Source organism: Homo sapiens, chromosome 11 (assembly GCF_000001405.40).
Source record: "Homo sapiens chromosome 11, GRCh38.p14 Primary Assembly".
NCBI classification, from domain to species: domain Eukaryota; kingdom Metazoa; phylum Chordata; class Mammalia; order Primates; family Hominidae; genus Homo; species Homo sapiens.
In genome coordinates this window covers 4,953,416-4,975,533 of record NC_000011.10, presented here as the reverse complement: position 1 = coordinate 4,975,533, position 22,118 = coordinate 4,953,416, and the positions used below count along the sequence as shown (strand labels likewise).

Below are 22,118 nucleotides of genomic sequence, written 5' to 3'. Positions count from 1 at the left end.
AACTCTATTCAGCCATATGGAATAAATAAGCAAATAACAATCTTACAAGCCCTGATAGAATAAATCTTCAGTTTTCCACTGAAGACTTAATCTCACTCTTTTCAGATTAATATCAGAAGCAAGACTTGGGAGTTGGAGGACACTAGGCCTAACAGGCACAAAAAGCCTTCAGTTGGTAGTTGGACCACTTGACACACCTGGATTAGTGTTTAAAGCAGACAGCCATCATACTGGTATTAGCCACAGTAATAAAAATTTATACATTGCCCTCCTCTGATTTTGCGTGAGGATCTTCCAAACTCTAGGTAAATATTATCTTAACACTTGCCTGATTTTTTTCTTGTGTTTTGTTTGTTTGTTTGCATGTAATTTCTTATTAAATCCAGAACGTCCTAGGCATTTTTAAAAAATGTTATTTCATTTTAAGTTCTGGGGTACATGTGCAGGACATGCAGGTTTGTCACATAGGTAAACTTGTGCCAGGGTGGTTTGCTGCACCTATCAACCCATCACCTAGGTATTAAGCCCAGCATGCATTAGCTATTTCTCCTAATACTCTCCCTCCCCCCACCTCAACCCCTGACAGGCCCCAGTGTGTGTTGTTCCTCTCCCTGTGTCCATGTGTTCTCTTTGTTCAGCTCCCACTTATAAGTGAGAACATGCGGTGTTTGGTTTTCTGTTCCTGTGTCAGTTTGCTGAGGATAATGGCTTCCAGCCCCATCCATGTCCCTGCAAAGGACATGATGTCGTTCCTTTTATGGCTGTATAATATTCTGTGGCGTACATGTACCACATAAAAATCCTTCCTAGGATTTCTTTACAAAGGTGTATACAGAGTTAAGAAGATGATGCAAAGGCACTCCGAAATCTATGGTAGTGAGGAAACAGACAAAAAGAGAAAGAACAGCATGGGATGGTAGATTTTGACAACAAAATTTTATATTGTTCCTCTAAGCAATCAGTAATCACTAAGAAAAACAGAAAATAATAGAGGATGAATGATTCTGTAAAGAATAGCAATAAAATCATAATGATCTAAAAATAAATTTTGTAAAATCCTCTATAAAGAATGACAACGTATTTTTGAGAGATATAAAAGATTCGAGGAAAGGAAAAGAAAATCCATGTTTACAACGAAGACACTATATACATATATTTTTTTTTGAATTTTATGTAAATGTTTTGAACTTTTAAAAAATCTTACAAATTTTTAACAAAATTTTAGACCTTTTTTTTCAGCTGAATTTTTATGACAGAAATTTTAAACAAATTTATAAGCAGGACATATATTGCAACGTTATATTAAAAAGCAAAAGTTTCAAGTCTTTGAGTTGGATAATGTTCGCCTGTATAATTATCTCAGTTGATCAGTAGTCCTTGTATAGGACTTGTACCTGTTATAATCTGTATCTATTTTAAGATTAGATTTTGATATCAATTTGCATTATTTTTTCTCGGTTTTTTGTTTCTAGTTGAGTCTACCTATCTATTTCTCCTTTTAGGTTTGTGTCTAAGAATTATGTCTATATACCTGGTGTTGTAAGACCTCAATGAGTTCAATAGGATAGAGCCAGGCATTTGAGCCGATCTACTTATACCTCTACAGAAAACCTCTTATGAGCTTCTCATCTTTTCCCTCAAATACTGGGATGTCCATTCTCAATACCTCTGAAATGGAAATCTCTATTTTCTACTTGGTTGGGATCCCAGGTTTGGAGCATGCCAATATTTGGATCTCTATCCCCATATGTCTCATGTACACTGTTGCTATCCTAGGGAATTGTACCATTCTGTTTTTCATAAAAACAGAGCCTTCTTTGCATGAGCCCATGTACTATTTTCTCTCCATGTTGGCTCTCTCTGACCTGGGACTATCCCTCTCCTCTCTCCCTACCATGTTAAGGATTTTCCTGTTCAATGCTCCAGGAATTTCCCCTGATGCCTGTATTGCTCAAGAGTTTTTCATCCATGGATTCTCAGCTATGGAGTCATCTGTACTTCTTATAATGTCCTTTGATCGCTTTATTGCCATCTGCAACCCCCTGAGATACACTTCCATCCTCACCAGTGCCAGAGTCATTCAAATTGGGCTTGCTTTTTCTCTCAAAAATGTTTTGTTGATCCTCCCATTTCCTTTCACTCTAAAACATCTAAAATATTGTAAGAAGAACCTCCTGTCCCAATCCTACTGCCTCCATCAAGATGTCATGAAACTGGCCTGCACTGACAACAAGGTCAACATCATCTATGGCTTATTTGTGGCTCTCACAGGCATCCTAGACTTGACATTTATTTTCATGTCCTACATGTTGATACTGAAAGCAGTGTTGAGCATAGCATCATGAAAGAAAAGGCTCAAGGTCCTCAATACATGTGTTTCCCACATCTGTGCTGTGCTCATCTTCTATGTGCCCATTATCTCCCTAGCTGTCATCTACCGGTTTGCCAAACACAGTTTCCCAATCACTAGGATCCTCATAGCTGATGCTTTTCTGCTGGTGCCTCCATTGATGAACCCCATTGTATACTGTGTGAAGAGCCAGCAGATAAGAAATCTTGTCTTAGAAAAACTGTGCCAGAAGCAAAGCTGAAGCGGATGCTTAACCACATGATGCTTAACCCAAAGTCAAGAAAACAAGCAGAATAGATCAATAAGAAAACATACTATGTTAATCACTTTACAATATAATTTCTCAATCTGTTCATTAGGATTAAAGAATCAAACTTGCAAATCTGTTGGTTCAGTATTCAGGCTTGGGACTCTTATGTAAATAAAATGTATTCCCAGGTTTCACTCTTATGCAGTTTCCCTTACCACTCCTATGAACACAATGTATTCTTGTCATTTTCATAATGATTAAAATAATATTGTCTATGTTAATTTGAAAATTAATGGTATACACTTACATGATAACTGGGCAGTGATCAGAGGTGACCAAAGACTACCTCTTTATTTAAAGTACTTATTTTCAGCACATATTTTTGACATCTTTGAGATATGTGCTTGTTCTCAGGAATTGAAATTAAGATGGGCAATAACACTCTTGAACATGAAACTATTCAAAAAAACTAACATGCATACATGAAAAATATAAAAATAAAATAAACAATGCTTTATTTACTCATTTTATTTAATTCAATATCTCCTTCCTTAACATGAAATGTCATTTTCTAAGGTGACAGATTCCTGTCTTTGACATTTCAATGGGAATTCTACCTAATGACAAAGACTATCTCCTCTACCCAGGTTCCTCTGAACTGTGTTCTCAACTTGGCCTTGATTTTCATATTTATCTCCATATTGTTCGATTTTAGCAAGAGTCATGCTAGGTCAGTTTAACCAAAGCCCCTTCCCCTCCATATCTGGTTACTCTAGATGTTTAATTGATTTCCTCATATTCTACCATTCCCACTTGATATGTGATAATTCTGGCTTGCTGATAGCAAGAATCCTGTTAGGTCAATTACATGCTTTGGACATTTGTCCCCTCCTGATCTCATATTAAAATTTAATCCCCAATGTTGGAGATGGGGCCTAGTGTGGAGTTGTTTGTGTCATGTGGGTGAATCCCTCATGAAGGGCGTGGTACCATTCTTGCAGGATTGAGTGAGTTCTCACTCTATGTTCCTGTGAGATCTGGCTGTTAAAAAAAGAGCCTGGCTACTTCTTCCTCTTTCGTTTTATCTTGCTTCCTTCCTCTTGCCTGTGATACCTTCTCCCTTTCCCCTTCCACCAATGAGTAGAGGCTTTCTGAGGATCTCGCCAGAACCAGATATTGGTGTCATGTTTCTTGTACAGTCTGCAGAACTGTGAGCCAAATAAACCCATTTTGCTATAAAGTACCTAGACTGAGACATTTTCCTTTACAGCAACACAAAACAGACTAAGCCAAAATCTTCCCTACTCTTGATGTTTCCTTTTAATAATTTTCTACTTAGTAACCTATGTCCCCAACCTTACTCCTTTTCCATACATTCTTACTTTTCACTGTTCATTTAGAGTTGAGCCCAATCCCTCTCCCTACAACAAGCTCCTATACATATCACGTTACTCTCTGTTAATAAAGTTTTTCTTACTGTTCTTTAAGCATCATAAGTAATTTTTTCTTTAATGTTTGAGGTGCCATGACTCAGGATCACATGTATCACTGGACCCCCAGACTTTTCACTTAGGACCCTGTGTACACACTTTTGACAGCCTGTTGAATGATAGTAAGGACAGATTTGATTCTTAAGGTTTTGTGTGTACTCAAGAAGCTGTGCTACAATCCCAGGTAAGCAGAAACTGAGTTAGAGGCCCAAGTTCAGGCTTCTCTCTTTGACAGGTAACTGCTGGGCTGGAAGTCTTTCTTCCTGGCTCTGTCTTGAGTGGGGATTATTCCTCAACTTTTGGGGTATGTGTTCTTCCTGGATCCTTATTTTGATTAAAATTTATTTCCTGATTTGTGAGCTGGAATTTTTTTCATGATGGTTTGTGAGAACGTTTTATTACTTCCATTTGATTCTTCTTTTCCTAATGGGAATTTCTCAGTCAATTGAAATTCCCTTCTTGAATATTTGCCGACTGTGTGCTCCACCAGGTCTATTCACTCCCTTCACCCCAGGCCGCATGCTGTTGCATCATGGCACCATTTTGAAAGCAGGGTGGCACCAGCACCATAAGCCCCTGCGGGGCCTGAGAATCAGCCCATCTAGGGCCTTTGCTGATATCACCACCACTGGCACCGGTGCACAATGCCTGATGACCTGAGGACAATCTTTCCTGGGTCTGCCACTGCCATAGCCACCACCAGAAATGCACTCCCAAGGGTTCAAGGACAGACCATTTGGTCTCACCAGCACCACTAAAAACAACCTTACTTAATACCAAGAAGGAACTGCTGTGCACTAGCACTTGCCCCTAAGGAGACTGATGACTGGCCCACCTGGCACCTCCATCCCCAGAATAGCCTCACCACAGCCTCCACAATAAACCTCAGCTTAAGTGGCTCACCTCTCTATACTCACTTGAACTCCCTGTACACATCAAGAGCTTTCAAGGTGCTCAGGAACCCCAAACAGCAATCATCTGAGGCAGAAAGAGGGGGAAAGGGTTAACTGAAAATAGACTGGATATTTTATCCACTCAGAGGAGCTTTGGAAACAGCCAGATTGCTGCTTGATGTTTCCTCAGGCACTTGCCTAAAAGGTAGCCCACAGCTTCTGTCAGATTATATATCAGAACAAAAGAAAATCATAAGAATTCCCCATAAATACTGGTTTAAAAAAAGATTTAGACCTTATTGAGTCAGTAACCTCAATTTATTCCATTTTTGTCAAAAATACTGTTTGGACAGAAATATAAATTGTATTAAAGATAAGAACTACTTTATATAAACCAGTGAGTTTTTTGTATTACTATGCTTTACTAACTCATAGCTAAGAATTTTAAAATGAAACGTATAAGATCTCTGTGGCTCGTCTGTGTGTTTATGCATTCATGTAAACATGTTATGTAGATGCAATATTTTTCTACTTCTGAATAGTATTACCAAATTAGTTTATAAAATACCTTAAAGGAGCTTTATTCAAATTGGCATGCAGATTAGTGAGTGCCTGTAAATGAAATATTCCTAAAATTCCTAGGAAAAAACTAAACAAAATTATTTTCAAATTTACTTGACATAGGCGTATCTTTGGCAAGTGAGCCTAGTTTAATAACGTTTGCTTAATAAAAACCCTTGTATCTTCTGAGTTATCAGCATTAAACATAATAAAAAGCATATTTTACTTTACTTGGGTTTAAAAGTTGAGTAAGGTAATAGTATATCTACTGGATGTTTAAAATTATGAAAATTATTCAACCTAGGAACATGTGCATGAGTAAAGATGCAGTTAAAATTAATTGTTTAATATAAATACTTTATGTATGTCAAGCACAGCAGTAAAACAAACAAACAAAAATAAACAAAAATGTATCTAACTTTTTAGGTTTCTACTTTTGTAATGTTTACCTAACATGCCTGTCATATAAAAAGGGTTAACAGGTAAATTACTTGAGATATGAGATAATGGCTAGCTTTGTTTGGTGTTATGTTTACCTTGAAATAATTTCCAGAATATTTTAGTAACTTGCAACCTTAATGTTAGGCTAAGTTTCATTAATAATAGATATTTGTTAAGTATCTAGGTCATTTCTAATAAGATAAACTAGTACAATATTCATTACTAAGCATAAGTTTAAGTTTACACTCTTTTGGCATCTTATTGTTATATGTTTTATATGAGTTACTTATACTTGAGTTCATTAATAAACGTTTTTGTCACATTGAAAAATTGTTCTATGAGTAAGTATATGCCTCTAGAAATTGTGAAATTATGTATTAATAAATTTGCAATCCTGTTACCGAATCTGGGCTTATGACAATTCACATTTGTCTATTTTCTGTTATAGTTTTCTCTGTAAAGAAAGAAACTGATGGTTAAAAGTTATAATCAATGTATGTGGACAAAACTACTTAAATAATAAGGAAAACAACTCTGTTTAAAAAACATTTAAGGAAAGTCCAGTGTGTTTTCAAGAAGAAAAAGTATGAAGTATGAAAGATATGATGTTGTTTAGGAAAGAAAAAGGTAATTGTATTCTAAAGTAATTTCATTCTAAAGTATGACTGGGTATTCCTGAATGAGGAAATGAAAACTCACATGGATATTTTTCAAAGGTATAGATTGCTTGTAAAGAGGAATTTTATGTGTGGTCAAGTTGACTAAATATGTAAGTGGATTTATTTATTTTTATTAATTATCTTTAATGTCAAAATTATACAGATGCAAGACAAAAATGACAAACTTTCATGGATTATTTGTCTGCTCTTAATAAGAAATTGTAAAAGTGTTTTTCTATACCTTTTTAGTAATCTACTAGAAAACCAAAGTTCTGTGTCTTATCAGAATAGTTTGCTACATTTTATGCTATTTATGCTATGATAAAGACTATTTAAGAGATTATTTTAAGAAAATAATTATTTAAGAGAATCAAGTCTTCACACTTTTAAAATAACTCTTTTTTTTTATTTTTGAAAATGTTGCCTTTCCAAAATCAAATCCTAAATGAAATCTTCTTGTTCTTGAATTGATCTTGAGATTTCCCAGAGGGCCTCTGAAAACTCTCAAAGGATTTGTTCTTTCACCATGTAGAGAAAAGTTAAAAAATAATTTGGTTTATTTTGCTTGCTAAATTTCATGGAAACATTGTCAAATAAAAAAGATAATTAACCTTTCCTAGGTTATATTTGTATTGTCAAAATGTTATTATTTCAGCAATCATATAAAGTTAATAGAAATTTGTGAATTATTTTTCTGTTTACGGTATGCTCTAATATAATGCTATCAGCAGTAATTCCAGGTATTATTTTTGTTGGGTGTCACAGAAGCAACCAAATATCTTGTCAAGCTAACTCTTATTGGATCTTTAGAACTGAATGGATTCATGAAACTGCTAACATAAAACCAAGCAAAACAAAATATATTACATGGGACTGAATGAACTCATAAAGAATAATTAGGGGTTTTGTTTTGAAACACTGCTGATTCTTTCAATGTCCTATTTTCTGAATAAAAGAATCCCCTTTCCCTTTTCTCTCAAGCAATATGTAAGTTACAGAAATTTAGTAGATTATGTGCTGTAAACAAATATGAAACATTTTTCTTTTCTCCCTACCTGATCCCTTCAAAATTTGGAAACTTTTATTGACTATTCTTATATCTTTGTAAAATAGTTATCAGATAAGTTCAAAAAGAATCTGTAACAGGACACCATTGAAAAAACTGATTTTATTATCAAAGTTTTGGTTACAATATTATGTTTGAGAATGATGTACTTAGAATCAAATATAAGGAAGCAAGGTTGACTTTATGAAGCCAAAGCTTAATAAAGCCTTCTAGGAAAAAAACAGCCTGACACCTGGCTTACACCGTTCCCAGTAAAGAAGTTCCCTTTCTGGTAGGTACAGGAACCTCAGAATATCTTGGGGACCTCAAGAAGAGAATAAATTCACACAAATCTCTAGGTATTGCAAATGAACTTTGGTGGTAAGTTCTTGGCTTGGCTTCTTGGCCTTGAAAGAATATTTAAAATCAAATTTGAGATTCTTATGAAAAGTTTCGGTAAAGAAAACGTATAAGGCCTTTGCAGTTAATTGCGATTCTTGCTGCACTTACATAAATAATTAAGCCAAATCTAATGAGACCAGACTTTTTTGTGATTAAGAATTGTAAAGAGAGCTGAATATAAAGAGTAATTTTGTTTCACTGGGAAATTACAGTACTCCCTTATTGAGTACCACTTTTACTTTCTTCTAAAATCTGACTACAACTCTCCCAATTAATATTTCCAATTTTTCTTCTACCCTTCTGACTTGGCATTACTGAGAATAAAACTATCCTTTCACCAAACCTTTTAAGCTGAAGCTGGACAACTTGTTATAAACTTCAAAGTATATCTTCTTGCCTGCTGGTGTGTGAACCACTCAGAAATTTACCAAATCACCTGACACTATCACTAGAGGCCTTGCAAATGCAAACAAAACCTTTAGTCATATTGCCACTGCCATCCTCACTCCACCATCTAAAGATACATTGAGCTCAACAGGTAGAAATCCCTACTAGCTGCCCTCTGAGAGTTTCAACTATCAATCTTTTAAAAAAGCTTTCACAGGAATTCCCTTCATTAAAGGCCTGACAGCTTGCACCATCCAGCAAATATCCTTGACTACAAAGTCTCAACAGATAAGATAGCTTGTCCTTAATGAACAAAATGGACTAACATCGTAACAGATAAGACAGCGTTTCCTTGATGAAAAAAAGACGACTAAGAAAATGAACTAACGTTGTTCACACTAAAGAAGAATCTCTCTTATTTCCTTGAACAAGAGGGTTGATGACAGAGAGTCTCACCTTGACCAAGTTCTACTCAGCCATCTCTGAACTCTCTTCTTAGCTAGCCTCAACTTTAGGATTTCTGTGTTTATCTCTGTATTGTTCAATTTAGCAAGAATCTTGCTAAATCAGTTTAACCAGAGCCATTCACCCTCCATATCTAATCACTGGAGATATCGAATCAGGCACCTTATCCTCTACCATTCCCCCGATGATGCCTGATCACCCTGGTGGATAGTGGAGTGAGGATGGCAGTGGCAAGCTGTTAGAGCAGTGTGGCCAGAGTACACCTGCACCCATACCCCTGATGTTTCCTCTTAGCAATTTTCTACCCACCAACTCCTCCTGCCCATCACTGCTCTGTTTTTGGCTATAAAGTCCTCCTTTTCCTTCTGTATTTGTTGAGTCTAATCTCTTTTCCCTATTGTAAGAGCACACTGTAGTAGTCACCCCCATAGCTATTGTCATAGTCTCCATGAATAAAGTCTTCCTTAAGGTTTCTTAAAAAGCGTCATGAATAATTTTTAACACTAATGCATAACTCATTGTACTGTACATATTTTTTCTCTCTCCCATACAAAAATGTAAACCACTTAATTTTTATAAAAAGGCAAATCATGGTGCTTAAACGGTATAAAAAATCCATTAAAGATGTTCTCATGTAATTTATTTTTTAAGTGAGGAAATGTGGCAAATGCTACAACTACTTAGAAGGAGAATTCACAGAACAGACATAGTCATAGGAGGAATGTTGATGTGAATTTGCATATAAGTATAGGAATGGATGCTTCCACAGTAGAAGAAAGTCCATGGAACCTCTATGAGACAGAATTTAGTTACGTGTCTCCATACATGAATTACTTTGATTCCTGTTAACCAATAAAACTTACGGAGTTGTAAAATGTCTCAAAGGCAACGAAAGAACAAATTCCCCATCTGTTTGGAATCAGATAACCCAGAAGGGTGTGCTCTAAGCAATGCATACTTTTCCATCAAAACACAACTTTTCCCTGTAGTCTTTCTAGTTTTTATTAAAAAGAATCATCTCAAAGAAAGATTAATATTGACCACAAAACAATACTTTCATTAAACTTGGCCTCATTATCTATGTAAGGAAAGGAAAAAGTTAATTTATCATCTAAGCCTCCTTAACCTTCTTAAAAATTTTCATAAGGAATCTCAAATCAGACATTTAAAAGCCACTTTTATATCTGTACCTAATCTAGAAATCCTAGTTCAAGAAACTCTCTTCATCAAATTGCTCCTTTAGGTATCTATAATTTAATGTAATATTTTATTTTCTCAAAGTCCACAAAATATCCCAAGGATCTCGGCTTGCTAGGATGTGATCTTTCTTAGCACTTCTAAGGGCTAGACCACATAAGCCAGATAAGAGGCTGGCTTACTTGGGAGAGATTTGTCAGCATTGGATCCATAAAGTCAACTATAGTTCCTTAAAAGTGGCTGGTCATATCTGATTAAACATTCTCCAATGTGATACTCCAGGAAAGTCCTTTGTTGGATAATCAACTTTAATTTTCAGTTCAGCGGTACATGTGCAGCATGTGGACAGGTTTGTTACATAGGTAAATGTGTACCATGTTGATTTGCTACACAGATCATTCCATCACCTAAGTATTAAGCCCAACATCCATTAGCTATTCTTCCTAATTCTTTCTCTCCTCTCAACCCCCAACTCTCCAACAGGTCCCAGTGTGTGTTGTTCCCCTGCATGTGTCCATGTGTTCCCATAATTCAGCCTCCACTTATAAATGAGAACACAAAGTATTTGGTTTTCTGTTCCTGTGGTAATTTGCTAATGATAATGGTCTCTAGCTCCATCCTTGTCGCTGCGAAGGACATGATCTCATTCATTTTACAGCTGCATAGTATTCCATGGTGTGTATGTACCACAGTTTCTTTATCCAGTCTATCATTTGTGAGCATTTAGGTTTATTCCATGTTTTTGCTATTATGAATGGTACTGCAATGAACATATGTGTGCACGTATATTTATAATAGAATAATTTATATTCCTTTAGGTATATACCGAGTAATGGGATTGCTGGGTTGAACGATATTTTTGCCTCTAGGTCTTTGAGGAATCACCACACTGTCTTCCATAATACTGGTACAAGAACAGACACATAAACCAATGGAACAGAATAGACAGTCCAGAAATAAGACCATATACCTACAACCATCTGATCTTCAACAAACCTGACAAAAATAAGCAATGGGGAAAGGATTCCTTATTTAATAAATGGTGCTAGGAAAACTGGCTAGCCATTATGCAGAAAATTGAAACTGGAAGTCCCCCTTACACCATATATAAAAATCAACTCAAGATGGATTAAAGACTTACCTGTAAAACTCAAAATTATAAAAACCTTAGAAGAAAACCTAGGCAATACCATTAAGAACATAGGCTTGGGCAAAGATTTCATGACAAAGATACGAAAAGCAATTGCAACAAAACCAAAAATTGACAAATGGGATCTAATTAAACTAAAGAGCTTCTGCACAGCAAAAGAAACTATCAACAGAGTAAAGAGACAACCTACATAATGAGAGAAATTTTTTGCAATCTGACCATCTGGCAAAAATCTAATATCCAGCGTCTATGGGAACTTAAACAAATTTACAAGAAAAAAATCAACCCCCTTAAAAAGTGGTCAAAGGACATGAATAGATACTTCTCAAAAGAAGACATACAAGCAGCCAACAAACATGAAAAAAAGCTCAACCTCACTGATCATTAGAGAAATGCAAATCAAAACCACGATGAGATGCCATCTCACACCAGTCAGAATTGCTATAATTAAAAAATTAAAAACCAACAGATGCTGGTGAGGTTGTGGAGAAAAAGGAACGCTTTTACACCATTGGTAAGAGTGTAAATTAGTTCAACTATTGTGAAGACAGTGTATCAATCTTTCAAATTGTATCATGCTTCAAAAGAAGTCAGGTTCTTATTGAACCTCTGTAAATAACACGTCATAAAAAGCAAGGACAAAGATCAGAAGGTTGTAGATGTTTGGCATTATTTCTGAGGCCTCTGTTCTGTTCCATCGGTCTATATATCCGTTTTGGTACAGTACCATGCTGTTTTGGTTACTGTAGCCTTGTAGTATAGTTTGAAGTCAGGTAGTATGATGCCTCCGGCTTTGTTCTTTTTGCTTAGGATTGTCTTGGCTATATGGGCTCTTATTTGGTTCCATATGAAATTTAAAGTAGTTTTTTCTAACTCTGTGAAGAAAGTCAATGGTAGCTTGATGGGGATAGCATTGAATCTATAAATTACTTTGGGCAGTATGGCCATTTTCATGATATTGGTTCTTCCTATCCATGAGCATGGAGTGTTTTTCCATTTGTTTGTGTCCTCTCTTATTTCCTTGACCAGTGGTTTGTAGTTCTCCTTGAAGAGGTCCTTCACATCCCTTGTAAGTTGTATTCCTAAGTATTTTATTCTCTTCGTAGCAGTTGTTAATGGGAGTTCACTCATGATTTGGCTCTCTGTTTGTCTATTATTGGTAGATAGGAATTTAAGTACATTCTGCTGAGTTGGAATCCCCAGGGCTTTCTTGGCTAATGGGAAAGCATCTGTTAGGCAGGATGAGACTTGGCAGATGAGGATAAATTCTTACATTTACACAGCAGCAAAACTCTGGTAAGTGTGTTCTGTTTCTATTTCCCCTGTACTTTGACATGTGGGCTCAACTATTTATCAACTTTCTGTTTAGCTTACTAATGTCACAGTTGCTACTTTGCCTTTGCACCAGCTCAACCCAGAAGTTCACATGCTTTTTGTTTGACTCTGTTCTCCAAGTGATTAAAATGCATGCCAGTACCCCAACTTGTCAAAAAGTCCAACAATGTATGTAAATGCAGGATCGAAGTCCAGAGTTGTGCCAACTTTCGGAAATCAACCAAGTGCTAAACCCGAATTACTATTTCAACACAGAAAAAAATTAAAATCCCGTACCTGGATCTGGCTTTTAGGTAACATTTTCCTGAATTATAGAATTACTGCCTTACACGTTGAAATAAGTTGTTTGGGGGTAGAGATATGTGAAACCACTGAGCTTGCAATGGGCATCTGTGAGAAAGCAACAGTGACCACTAGGAGTTTCTGCCTCTATCATCTGTCCTAACCCAGCACGCTTCTAATCAGGTTTAAATATTTGCTTTATATATATTTTTCTATTGATAAATAAGAAAGCAACCTTATGACTCTCCTAAAAATCTATAATTTCATAAGTTCTAAGTAATGTTGTGAGAGTGGGTTTTATATACATTTCATGTAATCACTTAATTGAAATACAGAGGTCTCCAAATTGAGACTAGGACTTTTAATTCATTCAGTGTATTTTAGTGTAAGTAAAATGATATCTGCTTATATGTGATTCTGAGACTTTAGAGGGAGGAGACAAAACAGCAATGTTATCAAGGAGCACACTACACACTGAGTTGCCGCTGCTTCCACTACTGATCTAGAACTTGACCAAGGATTTGAGGATTAATTTGTGCTTACCAGCAGATAGGATAGGAATAAATATACAAAAAACAAACAAACAAAAACAAAAAACAAAAGACACAGCACTCCAAGCAGCAGAAAAAAACAGGGGTTGCTCCAATTTTATAATGTTGAAAATGCCAATTCTGTTCTATGTATTTCCATATTAAAGGCAAATGATTTATAGTATTATTTATAGACAGGTATCCTTGAAACTGTTTTTCATTGATTACTGCACACTTCATTTCAGATGAGTTTGGGTCAGAATCTCAAAAGATACAATCCCGAATACCATAATTCAGAAAGTTGAAGTCCCAAAAGTTAAAAATTCTTAATGTTCATATCCCTGAAATCTAAAACCTCAAAAATTGCAATCTCCCAAAAATTAAAATCCCAAGTGTTGAAATTATGAAAGCCAAATTCTGAAGAATAGATTAGTACATTAGTACATTTTTGCCTGTCTGCAGGACGGTTGCATCATGTTAGATGAAACTATTACTTTGTTATTGTCTTTATTTGGAAATGAAGTATAGTTTAAGGAGATGCTTATGGTTGCCAAATTGACAAGGGGTGAACTTGTGGACTTAATTTTAGGTGTCAACTTGACTGGATTAAGGAATAGCTAGAAACCTGGTAAAATATTATTTTGGATGTGTCCGTGAGGGTATTTCCAGAGGAGATCAGTGTGTGCGTGTAAGAGGACTGGGTGGGAAATATCTACCCTCAATGTTGCTGGGCACCATCGAATCAGCCAGGGGCCCAGAGGGAACAGATACAGAAGCCAAATTAGTCTTTTACTGAAAGCTAGGACAGACTTTTCTACTGCTCCCTTGGACATCGGAAATTTAACTCCATGAAAATGCATTATCACAAAATTGACTTTGTGTGTAAACATATGCGTGTATGTAGAAACACTGAAACTTCCTTGGTAAATGAAGAAATATCCTTTAGGTACATCTGCAGTTGTGAAGACAAAATTTCTTGAGATCTCGGCTCTTTAGGTGACTATATGTGGTGATGACTCATCACACTATTTGACTGATCTCATCAAAAGGCTTAGGTTGCTCAAAACAGTATTTCAGATAATTGCAGTTATAAAGCTGAGTGCATACAATTACTGACTATAGCTTCATGCATTTATACATTTCCCTTTTTGACTTATCTTTTTATGTATACTGTTTGTTTGCTCAGTAACTATTATACCCCTGTGATTGTTGTTAATATATGCCTTTGCATTTATGCTTGCAAAAATATGTATGTCATTATTATATATTTTATTGTGTAAAGTGGCTTATGAAATGTTCTGCTATGCTTTTTATATTTCTCAAATAAATCCCCTTTTTAAATGTAAATAAATATATTTTAAATATTTTTTTCAGAAATGTATTTTCTGTATTTTGGCCTTTTGGTACTGTAATTTTTGGAGTTTTGGACTTTGGAGATTTTGATATTTTGAGATTTCAGCAATCAGGATTATTTCTTTCAGGATTATGATCAGATCCAATTGCAGATCACCCTCTGAAGCAATAGTATGGAAAAAGGAAGTTTTATGGTATATGTGTTTAGCAGATAATAGACCCACGTAGCAGCAACAGAAAACTTAAGTGGGTGGGGGGTGGGAATGATGTTACAGAGGCTGGATGTTTGTCTAGCCTGACTGGGCAGAGAGCAGGTCTTTGCATGTCAATAAAGATGTTTGACAGTTGAGGTGGAGTGGGGCATCATGACCTTTCTTAAGACAGAATAATCAAACTAACATTACAGAAAAAAAAAAAATCAGGCACATAGCACACAGGCATTTTTGAGCTCCATTGATACTAGTGGTTAAGTACTATCCAAAAACGTGAATGTAGTCACCATTCAATCAATTGCTTTTAAGATATTTATTTTCTTCCTATGTGCCAATTGCACCTAGAATTTTCTTTCTGTTCAACACTATTTAACCCATTATGCCATGTCCATTTGCTTCAAAATTTTATTTTGCTGAGAATATATTTATTACTAAATTGCTAATAGCCAACTTGGAGACAGAAGTCTCAGCAAGGCATTCTCCTGGGTGGGGGGGCGGGGCTGAAATGAAATTCAGTGAAAAAATTTCAAAAACTCAAAGAGAAGTGGTCACAGGTGTAACAGCTCAGAAGCACAGCAGCCATATGTTTTGATTTATGGATTGTGAGTCTAAAGGTGAGAAAAAAGATATAGGAGAAAAATGAATACACATACACACTCACACAGGCACAAACACATTCAAGAAAAAGAGGAATGGAGAAAAGTATTGTGAGAGTATGAGTATATTTAGAAAACAGTCAACAATAAACAAGTTAGGGCTGATTATATGCAAAATAAACCTCTAAGGGTCTTGTAACATACGTGAGGGCAATAGAGGACAAGAAAAGAAAATAAATCAACACAATAAATGATTGAACTGGATACCACTTAAAGAGATAATATGAATTCCCTGCACACTTTACTTCAGATCATCTTCTGAAGCAATGGTATGGAAGCAAGATGCTTTCTGGTGTGTTCAGGGGAAAATAGACCCGTGCAACAGAGGACTTAAGTAGGGGGAGTGATGACATTCTAGAGGCTAAAGTGTGTATAGCCTAGCAGAAGAGAGGGCAGGGATTGTGTTTCAATCAAGAGAGTTGACTTGGAAGATTTTTCTGACTTTTATTAAGAGAAGACAGAATGGTCAAACTCATATTTGAGGAAGACACATCCTATACCCAGCACAAAGGCATTTTGTAACAACTGTGGATATAATGGCCTCCTTTGATATTTGTGGTAAGTACCTTCCAAATTGCAATGTAATAGAAATTCAGTGAAATCTTGTAAGATTTTTTTTTTTTTTTTTTTTTTTTTTTGAGACAGAGTTTCTCTCTGTCGCCCAGGCTAGAGTGCGGTGGCGAGATCTCAGCTCACTGCAAGCTCCGCCTCCCGTATTCACGCCGTTCTCCTGCCTCAGCCTCCCGAGTAGCTGGGACTACAGGCGCCCGCCACCACGCCCGGCTAATTTTTTGTATTTTTAGTAGAGACTGGGTTTCACCGTGTTAGCCAGGATGGTCTCGATCTCATGACCTCATGATCTGCCCGCCTCGGCCTCCCAAAGTGGTGGGATTACAGGCGTGAGCCACCGCGCCCGGCCTATCTTCTGCATTTGTTAATTGGATCTAGAAATTCCTCTGTATTCTCTGCTAGTTATCCTATTATTTCTTGTTCATCTCCTTCAAAACTTTATTTTGTTGTGGGTATGTTTATTACTAACCCTCTGATAAGCAACTTAGAGACAGAAATCAAACTAAGCAAGGGATTCAACCTGAGGAAATGTAGTTTAATTCAAGGAAAACAATTCAAAAGCTCAAGAGGCGTAACTACAGGAATAGCACCTCAGAAACACAGCAGGCATATATTGTTATAGATGGTAAGTTAGAGAAAAGAGAAAAGATACAGGAGAAAGAAAAATACAAATTAACAAACCAGATAGATACAGATAGATGATAGATGGATATAAATGATAGATGATAGAGAAGATAGATGGTTGATAGAGACATGATAGATAGATAGACAGATAGATAGATATGAAAAGAGAGAAGCAGAGTAAGGCATTATGAGATTTTAAGAATATTAGGAAAGAATCAACAATAGAAAAATCTGAACTTGTTCTATAGAAAATAAATAAGACTCTTGCATCATATGAGATTGTAACCAGCAAAAGGGTGCAGCTACTCACTACTTCTAGAAAGAAGCAAAAAATAAAAAGAGTGAGATACGATAGAAAAAGGGTGAGCTTTATTGTTCGCGCTAGCAAGAGGTAAAAACGGCAGGAATTATTTCGAAAAATTGTCACTTTTCCAAATTCTGGACAGAGCACAAGGGCTTTAAGAAGAGGGGATTGAAATGCAGAAGAGGAAGGGGGGATAGGAGGTGCCAGCTGCTGTGACTTGCTCCAATGTCTTATCTTGAATTATTGTTCCATCTAGTGAAGGAGCTGGCGCCATCATGGGCCCAACCAGATTACAAATTAATTGCAGTTAATCTCACAGTTAAACTCTTGTTGGGAGTGAATTCTGGCCTTGGAGTAATTTTCTGCTGGGAAGACAATTCTGGAGGTGCCTAGTTGTGTCAAAATTAAGCCTCTGAAGCTTCTAAGGAAATATATGCTGGGAGGCTGAAGCAAGCGGATCACCTGAGGTCAGGAGTTCGAGACCTGCCTGGCCAACATGGCAAAACCCCATCTCTACTAAAAATACAAAAAAATTAGCTTGGGTGTTGGCTCACACCTGTAGTCCCAGCTACTTGGGAGGTTGAGGCAGGAGAATCGCTTGAACCTAGGAGATGGAGGTTGCAGTGAGGCGAGATCCACTGCACTCCAACCTGGGTGACAGAGTGAGACTCTATCTCCAAAAAAAAAAGAAAAAAAAACAGAAGTGTGTGTGATAAATGAGCATAGTGTGAGTTTAACAGGCAACCAGAATAACAAATGTGCATAAGGTGTGGGAGTGTAAGGTGGAGTTTTATACCTCATTTTCAGGCTGTATTTCAAGATAAGAGAAAAACATCTGCAGTTTTTCTCATCGGGGGAAAGGACGAAAGGAATAAAAAAAAGTTTTACAACAAGTTGGAAGCTATGCTGCCCAATTACAAGAGGACAAAGAAAGAGGAAAAAAGAATAAGGCATTATGATGAGCAATTGACCTGGATGCCCTTTGTAGAATAATGCCAATTTTCTACAAATTGGTGTGAAAGCAGAAGATATAGATTAACTTTACTTTTATTTGCAAATATATTCTTTAACTCTTTGGAATGTTTATGTTTTTACAATGATGTAAACACATTTTCTTCAAAAAAATTGCTTTTATGCCAGTATGAAACAGCAGGCAGGCATTGTTTATATTTAAATGTGTGTATCTTAATTTAAAAATTGCCTTTTACTTCTCACGAGCTACATTCAGTTCATAACTCTTTAAATATTGCTTGACCATCCTGACAGTGTGGTATACACCTAATTATCAGTAAAATAACAGACCTGAGTTGCTATCTTACCTCTACCCTACAACACTTCTGTGATCTTAAACAGACGACTTGATCTTGAGAAAAATTTTCTTCATCAGTAAAATGAAGATAATGATATAACTTGATTATATTATTTAAAAAATTTCAAGATTCCAAATCATCATCTGGTAATGGAACTCAGTAAGTAAAACAATTTAATTTTCTAAGAAATATTGGTCATTATTGTGTACAAAATGTAAGACAAAGAATCTCAGATATTTGGCTTGCAAATTCTTAAAGGCTTATTACTGAAGTAGGTCCCTTAAACTAGGAAGATTTGGTAAGGGAGAAAAACTTGTCTAAGTTGGACAAGTTGGTTTTAAGGGATATTTAGTTAGCGATGTCTAATGGGTCCGGGGAGATGGATCCAGGATTCAGGAATAAAATCTAGGATAACACATTGTGTCCCAGGATGTTTGTCCTGCAACACTTCCTTGAATGCAGAATCAACTCATAGCATCTCTGCTTAGACTTGGCCTTGTGCAGAGGAGAAATACACAAGCCAACTATCCATTCAGAAATATCCAAGCTTTTGCAGAGAATTTACCATGTCTCTCTAATACCTGCCAATTAAGGACCTCTCTCCAAACAAATCATCCCTTATTACAGGTGTTACTAGATGTTGTTTTAGTTTCCTTGGTAACAACTATCTCTGTAGATTTACTGTATCTACAAATGTTTATTCCAATTTTCAGAAAAGATCCACCCTGGCTGCAATCCCCAGAGAACTCTGTGACCCGAGAGCCACTGGTTAGGTAAAAGTGAATAAGAGCAGTCTTTTGTGGCAGATAAATTCAGCAATGCCTTGGGTTTGTATATCAGGATTCTTTAGCTTTTATCAAAAATGCCCGCCAAAATATCCACTCTCTGGTAAGTGCCCAGATATTCTCATTTATTTGGCTTTCACTTGACTTCTTTTTTGGCAACTGATCACATAGAACTGAAGATCACAACATACATCTGAAAGAAAGAATTAGTATAGCATTCCAGTTAATTCACTAGGATTTACTCATATTTTACAGGAAAAATAAAATCAGACGTGTAACTAACTGCAAAATTTAAACCTGGATTCTCTATAGAAATAACATGTCCAGAAATAATTTTCCCAATGCATTAATAGACAGATTCTACTCTAAAGTATTACCCATCTCTCTTCATTATGATAGCCACATAAATGCTTTGTTCTCTCAAAAGAAAGCTGAAAGAAGCCACAAATTTTAACACTGCTTTTTTTCTACTAAATTTACAGATATGCCTATTTTACCAACACAAGCAAGCGGATCACCTGAGGTCAGGTGTATCTGTATTTTTCATAGCAGAGCCCTATGAATGAATCATGTCCATTATCAACACATCATATGTTGAAATCACCACCTTCTTCTTGGTTGGGATGCCAGGGCTAGAATATGCACACATCTGGATCTCTATCCCCATCTGCAGCATGTATCTTATTGCTATTCTAGGAAATGGCACCATTCTTTTTATCATCAAGACAGAGCCCTCCTTGCATGGGCCCATGTACTATTTTCTTTCCATGTTGGCTATGTCAGACTTGGGTTTGTCTTTATCATCTCTGCCCACTGTGTTAAGCATCTTCCTGTTCAATGCCCCTGAAACTTCTTCTAGTGCCTGCTTTGCCCAGGAATTCTTCATTCATGGATTCTCAGTACTGGAGTCCTCAGTCCTCCTGATCATGTCATTTGATAGATTCCTAGCCATCCACAATCCTCTGAGATACACCTCAATCCTGACAACTGTCAGAGTTGCCCAAATAGGGATAGTATTCTCCTTTAAGAGCATGCTCCTGGTTCTTCCCTTCCCTTTCACTTTAAGAAGCTTGAGATATTGCAAGAAAAACCAATTATCCCATTCCTACTGTCTCCACCAGGATGTCATGAAGTTGGCCTGTTCTGACAACAGAATTGATGTTATCTATGGCTTTTTTGGAGCACTCTGCCTTATGGTAGACTTTATTCTCATTGCTGTGTCTTACACCCTGATCCTCAAGACTGTACCGGGAATTGCATCCAAAAAGGAGGAGCTTAAGGCTCTCAATACTTGTGTTTCACACATCTGTGCAGTGATCATCTTCTACCTGCCCATCATCAACCTGGCCGTTGTCCACCGCTTTGCCGGGCATGTCTCTCCCCTCATTAATGTTCTCATGGCAAATGTTCTCCTACTTGTACCTCCGCTGATGAAACCAATTGTTTATTGTGTAAAAACTAAACAGATTAGAGTGAGAGTTGTAGCAAAATTGTGTCAATGGAAGATTTAACAGTCATATGTGACAGAAAACCTGGAAATGTCTGGTAAGATATTTAAGGTAAATTTGAGAAACCTAATATTTGACACCAAGAATTATCAACACATATTTTTATCGTTATCACAGACTTATTTTATTCACTCTAGATACTGAGAATGGGAATAAAACTGTAACCAGGAAGTACGTTGCCTTATGTCCCCATTTCAGTTAAGCAGAATAAAAATAAATGTCTTATGATAGCACCTCTGATACAAACAACAAATTACAACCAAGACAGAAAAACGATAATTTTTACAGTTCTGACAGAAGTTGGATTCCTCGTTATCTACATTCAGTCTCTCTATACCAGGTTCTTTTACTGCTAGACCCAAATTTTATATTATATCTGTCTCTCTATCCATTTTAATCATGTTAGTATGTCACCATCTTTTTTAAATTCCAGCTTTTATATTTGATATGGGTTGGATTTTTACATGGGTATTGGACCCAGGTAGTGAGCATAGTACCCAACAGATAGTTTTTCAGTCCAATCCCCGCCCCATCATTTCCCCACCCTAGAAGTCACCAAGCATTTCTTCAGTAAAATATTGCTAAGTTCCCTGCCTTATAAAAGATTCGCTATGCAAGGCAAGAGTAATTAAAAAGGCAAACTGAATATATGAGTGCCTCTTTTAAATTTGAACTCTCACTTCTTTAGAAATACAATTAAATCAATAAAGAAATTTTTTTTGAGACGAAATCTTGCTCTGTAGCCCAAGCTGGGGTGCAGTAGCACAATCTCTGCTCACTGCAACCTCCGCCTCCCAGGTTCAAGCGATTCTCTTGCCTCTCAGCCTCCCGAGTATCTAGGATTACAGGCGCATGTCACCACGCCTGGCTGATTTTTGTATTTTTTGTAGAGACAGGGTTTCACCATGTTGGCCAGGTTGGTCTCAAACTCCTGACCTCAAGTGATCCGCCTGCCTTGGCCTCCCAAAGTGCTGGTATTACAGGCGTGAGCCAACACGCCAAGCCGAAGGAAGAACATATTCCGAGACCCTACATGAGCTGGACCCTTTCTACTTGTTCAACATCATCAGATATTCATTAATCTCCAGCCACATTGACCTACTGAATCGTTTTTGAATTTACAGAGCTCTTTTCTTCCTGTGAGTTTTCACATCAGAACTCTTTTGTTAAAATGCTTGACACCAATTTTGTGTAAGGCATTCCTTTTCTTTTTTCTTTAAATGTTGGCTTAATTTCATCATAAATTACCTAGCCCAAGCTTGTATTATGACCCTCTCTTTTATCTCTTTTATTACTTGTTTATTCTTTATTCTTTATTATACTTAATATTTGCAATTATAGATAACTTTTGTGCTTATT

General features: G+C 36.5%; 2 protein-coding genes and 1 pseudogene across 3 annotated transcripts in view; 2 read left to right on the top strand and 1 right to left on the bottom strand.

Moving 5' to 3' along the window:
- The window catches only part of MMP26 (matrix metallopeptidase 26), a 287,646-nt gene that overhangs the window by 16,896 nt on the left and 248,632 nt on the right, over positions 1-22,118 (bottom strand). The window lies entirely within an intron of this gene.
- Positions 1,638-2,603, top strand: OR51A5P (olfactory receptor family 51 subfamily A member 5 pseudogene; annotated as a pseudogene).
- Positions 19,821-20,762, top strand: OR51A2 (olfactory receptor family 51 subfamily A member 2). Its single transcript, NM_001004748.1, has one exon. It carries the CDS (start codon positions 19,821-19,823, stop codon positions 20,760-20,762), a length of 942 nt encoding a protein of 313 aa, NP_001004748.1.